Raw genomic sequence first — 11,362 nt, 5'->3', positions numbered from 1 at the left:
GTTGGCTTGCCTCCGGCATTTTTGGCCCTTGCCTTTTAGGGTTGCCAGATTAAAAGACAGGATGCCCAGCTAGTTTGAATTTTAGATAAACAACGAATAATTTCGTAGCATAAATATGTCCCAAGCTTAGTTTGGGACATACTTATGCTAAAAAACATTATTGGTTGTTTATCTGAGATTCAGAATTAAGCATTTTATATTTTATTTGCTGCCTCTGGCCACCCTACTCTCTTCCTAACACTCTCTCCCTCTCCCAGTTTTGTCCGCCTTCCCTGCCTCCTCTTCTGGGGGAGTTAGATCGAGTTGTAACAAGAACATGCCACTGTCTCGCTGGCTGCAGCGTGTGGTCCCCTTACCAGAGGTAAAGAAGAGATGGATCTCCACTCATGTTGTAGACAGAATGTTTATGTCCTCTCCAAATGCTTATGTTGAAACCCTAACCCCTAATGTGATGGTATGTGGAGATGGGCCTTTGGTAGGTAATTACGGTTAGATGAGGTCATGGGGTGGGGCCCTCATTATAGATCTGGTAAGAAAAGAGAGCATTGTCTCTGTGTCTCCCTCTCTCTCTCTCTCTCTCTCTCTCTCTCATTTCTCTCTATCTCATTTCTCTCTCTCTCTCTATCTCATTTTTCTCTCTCTCTCTTTCTCTCCTCTGTCTTTTCCCACCAAGTGAGGATGCGAAGAGAAGGTGGCTGTCTGCAAACCAGGAAGAGAGCCCTCACCAGGAACCCGTCCAGCTGCCACCTTGAACTTGGACTTCCAAGCCTCCAGAACTGTGAGGGATAAATGTATGATTTTAAAGTCGCCCAGTGTGTGGTATTTTGTTTTGACTAATACAACCTGAAAACATTTTCCCCTCACTCCACCTGAGCAATATCTGAGTGGCTTAAGGTACTCAGGACACAACAAAGGAGAAATGTCCCATGCACAAGGTGCACCCATGCCTGGGTAAAGCAGCCTGGCACAGAGGGAAGCACACAGGCTCAGGGCTCTGCTATTCATTCTTTGTGTGACCCTGGGCAAGCCATGAATGGAGCTTCAGTCACCCCATTTGTAATGGGATTTAATTGTGCTTGCCCTGCCTCCTTTTGAGGGCTGTAGAGAAAAGATGTCAAAGTATTTTGTAATCTGGCTGGGCGTGGTGGCTCATGCCTGTAATCCTAGCACTTTGGTAGGCTGACGCGAGAGGACTGCTTGAGCCCAAGAGTTTGAGATCAGCCTGGGCAATATTGTGAGATTCCATCTCTACAAAAATAAAATAAAATAGCCAGTCATGGTGTCACACACCTGTAGTCCCAGCTACATGGGAGGCTGAGGCGGGAGGATCACTTGAGCTTGGGAGATCGAGGCTGCAGTGAGCTATGATTGTACCACTGCACTCCAGGCTGGGCGACAGAGAGAGACCCTGTCTCAGAAAAAAAAAAAAGTACTTTGTAATCTGTAAGATTTCAACACACACAAAAAAAGTGTATATGCTCCACGATGCCTGTGAATATACACACACACCACATCATATACCAAGCCTGGCTGTGTCTTCTCACAAATGCACTGCTAGGCACCACCCCCAGTTCTAGAATCACACCAGCCAGTTCACCCTCCAGATGGTTCACCCTCAACTTCATAAAAGTTCCCTACCTAATCTACTGACAGGCTCATCCCCGACCTAATTTTAAAGATTTCCTAGGAGCTGCAATGGGAATCCTGGACCTCAGCCTGGACAAAGAACAGCTGCAGGTCATTCTCATGTGTGGACACGGAAGCTCTGCCTGCCTTTGCTGGCCAGCTGGGCTGAGCGGGCCTGGGAAATTAAGGCTGCAGGGTTGGTCCCAGGCAGTCTTGCTGAAGCTTGCCACATCCCCCAGCCTCCTGGATTTGCCAGGATCCAAGAGCATGGATTTTAGGAATTCCTGGTGGAGGAGTGAAGAAAATGTGACAGGGTGTCCTAAGCCCCGATCTACAGGAAGAAAACTGGAAATAAGACTGAGGACTTAGTTTAAGATGTTCCTACTCAGCCTCTAGCTTTTGTGCTACAGTTCTGGGAACAGACTCCTCTCTCCTGAAAACCACTTCCCTCCGCAGCATTAAATTTCACCAAGATGTCTTGCTTGTGGGAAAGACTTCCAAGGATGCCTGGAGAGAGGAGGATGGAAATGTCCTGCTCTCTAAACAGATAGACAGATGCAGCCAGACAGAAAATAGTTTATCTTGCTGAGGTTTCTAATGTATTTGAAAGAGGCCTGGGTCTAGAAGTCTACCCAGAGGGCTCTGTGTTGTGCACGCAAAGATAAGAACCTTCCCTGTGGGAGTTCCAGAGCCAGTTTTCATAAACACCCATCGGTGACTGTGTTCAGAGTGAATTCACACCATCCTGACCTGCCCTGAGTTAGACCTTACATGGTCTTCCTCCTCTAGGAAGCCTCTGCAGCCCAGGAACCTCCCCTTATCTGAAATGAACAGCATTTGAAGCTTCACCAGACAGACCAGACAGCTTAGCCCTCGTGTTGTGCCATGTGGGTTGTTCTCTGAGAGGCAGGAGAGCATAGTGGTTACTAGGAAGGGAAGGACTTTGGGACTAGACTGCCTCGGCTGGAGTCCTCTTTCTGCTTCATAGCCACGTGATCCTAGGCATGTTACCTGTGCCTCAGTTTTCACTCTGTCAATATGTAATAACTGCATCTGTCTTTGTGGTGAGGATTCAGTGAGTTAACATATTTGAAGTGCTTAAAAATGAGGCTTGTGTCCATAGACTAATGAGTGAATACACAAATGGTGATATGGACATACAGTGGAGTATTAGTCATAAAAAGGAAGGCAGAGCTGATCCATGGCACCATGTGACAGAACCTCAAAAGCATTAGGTTAAGTGGAAGAAGCCAGACACAGGTCACCTATTGTGTAATTCCATTTATAGGAAATATACAGAATATGTAAATCCGTGGAGAAAGAAAGCCGATTTCCAGGGGCTAAGGGGAGGGGAGAATGGGAAGTGGCTGCTTCATGGGTACAAGGTTTCATTTTGAGCTCATGAAAATGTTTTGGAACTACATAGAGATAGTGTTGGCACAACATGGTGAATGTACTGAATGCCACTGATTGTTCACTTTAAAATGGTCAAACTTATATGAATTTCACCTCCATTAAAAAAAAAAAAAAGGACCAGATGTGGTTGCTCACACCCATAATCCCAACACTTTGGAAAAAGGTGAAAGTTTTTTTTCTTTTTTTTTTATATACTTAAGTTCTAGGGTACATGTGCATAATGTGCAGGTTGGATACATAGATATGCGTGTGCCATGTTGGTTTGCTGCACCCATCAACTTGTCATTTACATTAGGTATTTCTTCTAATGCTATCCCTCCCCCAGCCCCCCACCCACTGACAGGCCCCAGTGTATGATGTTCTCTGCCCCATGTCCAAGCGTTCTCATTGTTCAATTCCCACCTGTGAGTGAGAACATGCAGTGTTTGGTTTTCTGTCTTTGTGATAGTTTGCTCAGAATGATGGTTTCCAGCTTCATCCATGTCCCTGCAAAGGACATGAACTCATCCTTTTTAATGGCTGCATAGTATCCCATGGTATATATGTGCCACATTCTCTTAATCCAGTCTGTCATTGATGGACATTTGGGTTGGTTCAAAGTCTTTGCTATTGTGAATACTGCCACAATAAACATACATGTGCATGTGTCTTTATAGTAGCACGATTTATAATCCTTTGGGTATATACCCTAAGACCTGGGACGCATTTAAAGCAGTGTGTAAAGAGACATTTATAGCACTAAATGCCCACAAGAGACCTCTGCCTGAGAACGTGGGTTTCAGCCTAAGAGTTGTAATATGTGTGCCCATTCACAGGTGCTGCATCAGAGTCCCAGGTGGGAAGAAGGCAAGCATACACAAAAATGGTAAAAGGCAGAAAGGAGCCCAGTCTCATTCTTTTTAAGAAGTTTTCCTAAGAATCTCCACCCAGCGACTTGCTCTCACATCTTCTTGGCCAGCACTGGACCACACAACTCCTTCTAGATACAGAGGAGTCCTAGGATTCTATGAGAAAGAAGGGGAGGGTGGGCAAAGGGCAGCCAGCTGTGCAGCATCTGCTGGAGACACCTAACCCTTGGTGGAGGGGTTGTGGTGCTGGGAGAAGGCTTTCTGGACGGTGTGACAGCAGAGATAAACTTAAAGGCCAAGTAGGAGTTACCCTGGTGAAGCAGGGCAGGGTTACAAGCATTCCAGCAACATGAAGCAGCAGGAGTGTTTTAATTAAAAGAAGGCAGTTGCTGTAACCAACTATAAACAAATAAAGGCTTAAACACAATGGAAGTTTATTTCTCACTAAGGGAACATCCAAATCCATGATACTTTAAGTCAGGGACCCAGGTTCCTCCCATCTATGGTTCTGCCATCACTAATCTGGGTCTTCCACAATTGCCGTGCTCCTTGGAGGTGGGAAGAGCAGGCGGAGGACACGTGGGAGGTTTTAGGGACAAGCCTGGAGGCAGCATGCGTCACTCCCATGCAGAGTCCATTGGCCAATGCTGGCTCCGATGGCCACATCTCACTGCAGGGGCAGCTGGGAAATACAGTCTGGCTGTCTACCCAGCAGGAAGAGCAGCCAGTTTCTGCTGCTGATGATCAGGAGGTGGAGAAAATGTTCAGTCAGGCAGGGAGTGGGAACAGACAAGACCACAAGCAGCTTGGTGCCTCTGAAAGGGAGAGGGGTGGAGGGGAGACTAGAGAGGTGGGTAGGAATACTGGATTCCACTGACCACGTGCTGGATGTCACGCTTAGCCCTCCTGCTCTGTGCCGGGTTAGGCACCTTGTGTTTTACGTACATAATCTCAATTCTGTGAGGGCATCCGACCTGTGGGAAAAGAGCTGTTTGTTTCAAATGCCAGTCCTGCTTCCTAACAAGTGTTTAGAGCTTAATCGTGTTCAAAATACATATACAATGTTTAATACTTACAAGAATTTGGTGGGGAAAATATTACCATCTTTCCCTTTTGTGATTGGAGAAAAATGAGGCTTTGAAGGGTTTAAGAACTTGCCCAAGGTCGGCCAGGTGCAGTGGCTCATGTCTATAATCCCAACACTTTGGGAGGCTGAGGTGGGAGGATCGCTTGAGGCCAGGAGTTCAAGACCAGCCTGAGCAACATAGTGAGTCTTTGTCTCTATAAAAAATAAATAAATAAATAAAAAGAACTTGTCCAAGGTCAGACAGGCAGCCTCTTAGTAAGCACACATATCCTCTATATTATACTACCTCTCATGGAGGATCTCCTGTGTTCTACAAATAGTCTGGACTTGAGCCAGAATGTGTTATAATCCTGGGATCACGGCCAGTGGGCTTAGAAGAAGCCATCTCTTTCTCATGCCAAGATGAGGCTCCGCCAGATTTGCTCAGACTTACCTATAGTCAGCAGCATCGGGGGTCAGGAAAGACTTCATGAAGCCATAAATGCATCCTTCTCGGGGCAGCACCTGGCTCTCCCAGGTGAGAGAGGACTCCATTTTCACAGGCAGGCGTGGGAGCTTCAGCACCCATCTCTGGGCCCAGAATGACCCACTGGAGACCTTACAGCTCTCCTGTCACCCCCAATTCCTGCCCCCTCTGCAGCCTTGGAGGAGAATGGAGCTGAAGGGCCTGCCCTCTGTAGGGTGAGAAAGGGAGGCTAAAGCCTGGTGCCCACTGCCCTGGCTGCTCCGCATTGCAGGAGCTGCGCCCTTCCTTTCCTGGCACAGGGTCCACAGCCCCGAAACCCCGTTGTGTGGGAGCTGGGCACAGGGCAGCAGGACTAATCCTTGGAACAGCTCAGGGAGGATTATCCCAGCCACTGTCAGCAGCGGTGCAGCTGGCTCATTCCCATATAGGGGGAGGCCAGAGCCAGGGGCCTGCCACAAGTTGGAAGGCTGGGGAAGGGGAGGCCAGCAGAGGTGTCCTGGCTGTGGGTGGCTCTGAGGGGGCTCTCAGGGGTGGGGCTAAATCTCAGGGGCAGGATTATGTAAATCAAACCAATTCTAGCCACAGATTCAAAGTTTGGAAAAAAAAAAAAAACCCAGCCTGGCGGAAAGAATTTAAATTATAAAAACTTAGAAGTATGGAATGTGAAATCATCCTGTAGGTGCTTATTTAACAACGAAATCATCCCGACACAATGAGCCATATGTGAAAAGTCATCCTTCCCCAACACATCCCCCAACAGGCACTCCTCAAGCCTCTCCCACCCAAGTGCTGGCATCCTCCCTGTCCTGCTTCACCTGAGACACCCCTTGTCTCATTAGACATGCAACTACGGGAGGGGTGACAGGAAGACAAGACACTATTTCCTCAGGCCCAGTTTGGTGTGGGGAGAAAGCCTCCTGATCCTGAAAGCAAGAATTTGACCAGAGCAGAAGTAATCAGTATGCAGATTGACTCTGTGGTATGTTAATGTTTATGCATAGATTATGAGGACCAGGTGAAAAGTGGGCCAGGGGAGCCAGATGTGTGTGTGAGTCATGGGTGGCTGAGATGAGGACAGGAGGGAAACTGGTTTGGAGGCTGCTGGCGATGGGGTGGGGGTGCCAGGAGGAAGGGAGGCAGTTGTTTGAATGTCTGCATGAAAAAGCGGACGACAGCGGGGTCTGGGTGAATTCGGGCAACCATTTGGACCGTGGAGAAAACTGCCTGCGTGCGGCTGAGGACCTGCACTATTAATTTGTTTTTTAGCTAAGGCAAAGATAAATATAAAAACTGATACTCCATCCAGTTACCAGAAAACATTTAGGTATGTGTGAGACAACTTGGGTATGTGAACCTACCTTTTCAATGTAAATTCAGTGAAATCTAAGTGCAGATCCCATATTTCCAATAAAAAGGTAACATCCAAACTCAGATGTCCTATGAGTATAAAATACACAAAGATCTTCTGGACTTAGCATGAAAAGGGATTTTTTTTTTGTCAGGTACCTCACTAGTTATTTTTAAAATAGGATTGCATGTTGAAATGATAATCTTTTGGATATATTGGGTTAAATAAATTTATTATTAAAGTTAATTTCACTTAAAAATGTTTAATGTAGCTACTAGAAATTTTAAAATTAAGCATGTTGCTCACCTTATGTTTCTATTGGACGGCTCTCTCTAGATACAAAGGCTGCCAAGAGGGACCTCACTCTAGCTTCAGGGAGAAGAGAGGAATTAGCAAGGCCAAGCAGAGGCTCCTGAGGGCAGGGCCAAGGGCGGCTTGGTGGGGTGGGGATGGGATGCACAGAGATAACTCCAACCCTTAAGAAGGTGTTTCCTAGAGCAGGCTGTGACCTGTCAGTTTATATACTGAGGCTTAGGAGCCTCTTGGATGCCCCCAGATCTGCACCCCTGAATTGCCCTGTGCCCCTGCCGTCTTTGTTCCTGTGCTGGCATAGTGGTCTCACCTCCGGCAGTATCACCACCACTGGGCACAAGCTTCTCCAGCACAGCAACTGTGTCTTATTTCTCCTTGTACTCCCAGTGTTCACACCATGCTGCACTCACAGAAGACTCTTCGTTGATATTTTGTGGACAGAGAGAATGCCTGTGAGAGTGGGCTGAAGTGTGCGTTGGGCTCCAGAGACCTTAAGGAGGGGAGACCAGGTCCTGAGTAAAGTTGAAGGGGAGGGGCTGAGTCCTGCTAGCCAGGAGTCTCATCCCCTGGGGAAGTTCCAGGGACCCCTCAGAAGTGCAAGGGGACGGTGTTAGTGTTAGTCCAGTAACACAGCCCAGAGCCTGCCTTCCACGTGGGTTTGACAGGAGCCTCCTAACTGCTGTTCTGCTTCCATTTTTGCCCCTTCAGTCTATTCTCAACAGGGAAGCCAGAGGCATCCTTAACCATGTCAGATCATGTGGCTCCTCAGCTCAAAGCCTCATCTCAGAGGAAAGCTATGGTCCCTTAGAAATGGCCCAGGTGGTGACAGACAGACTCTAAGGTGAGCAGACTGTTGCTAGATATCTGGGCTCGGAGGACTCGCCACTGCTCAAAGGCAGTGAGGATTTTCGCACTAGAAGCTGGAGGACAGGGATCCTTGTTAGGTAGGAGCAGAAAGCTTAGAAAAGTGGTCTCCTGCAGTTACGTGGCAAACACATCATGTAAGTGATAAATTGGGTATGCAGTTGAGGAGATTTCCAAGTAAAATGTTGAGGATGCTGCCTGGTTTCTTCTTACTGCTTATAATATAGTGTGAGAGAAGAGAGATAAATTGAGAAAGAGACTGGTTTTTAAACTGTTAAAATTGAATCAGGACTTGATGATTTTGAAAATTGTCAGTCTCCCCACATGGAAAAAGATGCTGAAATTAACAAATGGCTTCTGAGCATGTGGCATAGGGTGTAACTGTACAGTCTTTTGTGATTATGCATAAAGATCAAAGGATGGGAGTAGCAATGAGTCACACAGAGGTCTGTTGCAAGAGATTACAAGGGTGTACCATGCAGAACCTCTCCACCAAACCTTAGGGCCCCTGGGAAGCTTCAGTGAGTTACCCTGGGGGCCATCTTGGCAGGAGCTGAAGGTAGAAAGGTAGAGTTTATCTCTAAAAGATTCATGGGTATGGCTCTTGACAAATCGACTATGAGCCCCACTGAAACCCACAGAGGACAGGCAAAGGGTTTGGGAAAGCTGTTTCACCCACAGTGCTGGCAGATTGGTCTGTAGGGGACAGAGTGCAAAATGAAAGAAGACTGTCAGAGACCCCAAACTCTGCTGTCAAGAAGAAGGCTGATAAAACTACTTGGCTGCAAACACGTGGATCTTTCGTGAGAAAAGAAGGATGACCCAGAGGCAGAAGCCCAGAAGGCAGAGCCAAGAGACATGGAATCTTCCCACATCTTAAAACCTGTTTAGGGAACACCAGCATCTGTCCAGCTGGATTTCAGAACCACCATTCCTTCATCCTTCCCCTGCTGCCTCTTTCTGAACAGCAATGTCTCAAGCTTTACCCACCATTGTGTGTTGCATATGTAGAGGGCAGATAGCTTGTATCTTTAGTTTTCCAGATCAGAGGAACATCCAAAGAAATCTGTTCTACACCTAAACCCGATTTAGATGAGATTCGGGACTGTGAGCATGAAGGGATCTCAAGAGGGGTGAATGTGTTTTGCATGCACAAGGGACATGAGTCTTGGGGACAGAGGACAGGCTGTGGTGGCAGATACTAAGGTGACCCCCACAACCCCCACCTCTGCCATTCACACCCTTGAATAATCCCCTTCTCTGGTTGTAAGCAGAACCTGTGGCTTGCTTATGAAGGAGGCGGTATATATGTGATTCATGTACTGATCATATTGTATAAGATCACTGGCTGGACGCAGTGGCTCGTGCCTGTAATCCCAACACTTTGGGAGGCTGAGGTGGGTGGATCACCTGAGGTCAGGAGTTCGAGACCAGGCTGGCCAACATGGCAAAACCCCGCCTCTACTAAAAATACAAAAATTAGCCAGGCATAGTGGTGCACGCCTGTAATCACAGCTACTCAAGAGGCTGAAGCAGGAGAATTGCTTGAACTCAGGAGGTGGAGATGGCAGTGAGCCAAGATCGTGCCACTGCACTCCAGCCTCAGTGACAGAGCGAGACTCTGTCTCAAAAAATAAATAAATAAAATGTTAAGATCATAACCTGTCTTTCTGGGGACTCTCTCTTGACGCCTTTGAAGAAGCAGGCTGCCATGTTGCAAGCTGCCTCATGGAGGGGATCAGCTGCGAGGAGCTAAGAGCCCCCTCCAGTCGATGCTCACCAGGAAGCTGAGGTCTTGTGTCCAGCACCCTGCATAGAACTGAATGCTGCCATGTGAGCTTGGAAGCAGAGCCATCCACACAGCTGAGCCCTAGATGAGAACCCAGTGCTGGCTGACACCCTGATGGCACCTTACAGAGGACCAGTTAGGCTGTGCCAACTCCTGACCTGCAGAAGCTGGGGAACATTGGGTCGTATTTGCAGCTGCTGGATTTGTGGGAATTTGTCACACAGCAATTGGGAGTCACACAGCCTGTGACGCCCCAACAATCCACACCTCCTGCATCTCCCTGCCTTCACTTCCTAGCACACTGCCCTGACTCCCTCTGCCGCAGCCACGCTGGCCCTCTGCTGTTCTTCGAAGCCACCAGGGCTGCATTGGCTCCCAGCCTTTGCTCTCACTGCTTTCTCCTCCTAGAGAGCCCTTCCTGCATGTATATGTTTGACTCACTCCCTTGCCTCCTTCAGACTTGTACTTAAAAATCTCAGTAAGCATTTCCCTGGCTACCCTTTTAAAAATTGCAACCCACTTCCATCCCCATCCCCAACATGCCATATTTCCTTTCTTCTTCTTCCTTCTTCCTTTTTTTTTTTTTTTTTTTTTTGACACAGGTTCTCTGTCACCCAGCCTGGAGTGCAGTGACATGATCTCGGCTCACTGCAACCTCTGCCTCCCCAGGCAAGAAAAGGGGAGGATGCCAATAAAGGATGCATTGATTTGTATTTACTACAGTGGACATCAAGGGCACATTCTTGCTGTGGCCATCAAGAGACTGTATAAATTCTATGACTTGTAGTTGTCCCACTTAAGAAACAAAGAAGCTGTGCATTTCTTTACTGGTCTAGAGCTGCTCTAGGGCATTTTCTCTACAGCAATTCTAGGTTTCCCCACCTTGTGAGTTTAGCTTTTTCTATATTCAAAGAAAAGTCCTCAGCCAGAGATTCTCAGGAGCTTATAGAACAATCCAAACTCTTGGGAATATTAAGTGGAGAGGGGTATGTGCAAGACACCAACAGCACTAGAAACAGTCCACATCTTTCCATGCGTGGAGGAGTTTATGCTCTATGTGAGTTCACTCCATCATTAATTCTTCAAACACAAGAGTGTTAAAGGAACAAGAGTTAATGGGTCCTGTCATTACACTTGTTCCCAGGATGACATTCATCATCTTCCTCTTCTACAACCTGTTCTATATTCCCCTTATGTTTATCCAGTGCTTCTGCTAGTCTAGTTCACTTCCAAAGACCCATGATTACCATGGCCCTGTCAGGCTGTAATTGCTGCAATTTCCAATTTACAATTGTCATCATCTATGGTTGATAAAGGTATAGCAGTATTTCTATTTCCTCATGATAAGGAAGGTCAATTACAACTGCCAGTATAATAACTTATTTCTTTGTCTGCCAACCTACATACACAAGGAAGCCAAAATGACATGGAGCTACTAAAACTTTATGCTTATTGGAATGCTTACTATGTACCCAGAAGAAGCATTCTCCCTACTCCAGCAGAGCTTAATGCTGTAGGTCCAGGAAGCTCAAATTCTCCAAGGGAGTTTTAGTGAGAGGAGCCACTCTCACCCTCTGCCCTTGGTTTACAAACCTGTATATTCTAG

The 11,362-nt window shown here is 47.1% G+C and overlaps 1 long non-coding RNA gene and 1 other non-coding gene across 2 annotated transcripts; one reads left to right on the top strand and one right to left on the bottom strand.

The window, feature by feature from the left end:
• Window positions 1-59: 59 nt before the first annotated feature.
• On the top strand, window positions 60-197 carry MIR1302-10 (microRNA 1302-10). Its single transcript, NR_036267.1, has one exon. It is a non-coding gene; the product is annotated as a microRNA 1302-10 (primary transcript).
• Window positions 198-4,300: 4,103 nt separating this feature from the next.
• On the bottom strand, window positions 4,301-5,771 carry FAM138E (family with sequence similarity 138 member E). The gene is made up of 3 exons (NR_026819.1): window positions 5,411-5,771; window positions 4,967-5,171; window positions 4,301-4,864 (listed from the first exon to the last, which is right to left on the bottom strand). It is a non-coding gene; the product is annotated as a family with sequence similarity 138 member E (long non-coding RNA).
• Window positions 5,772-11,362: the final 5,591 nt, after the last annotated feature.

The sequence above is a fragment of the Homo sapiens genome, chromosome 15 (genome assembly GCF_000001405.40).
Source record: "Homo sapiens chromosome 15, GRCh38.p14 Primary Assembly".
Taxonomy (NCBI): domain Eukaryota; kingdom Metazoa; phylum Chordata; class Mammalia; order Primates; family Hominidae; genus Homo; species Homo sapiens.
This window is presented reverse-complemented; position numbering and strand designations above follow the sequence as displayed.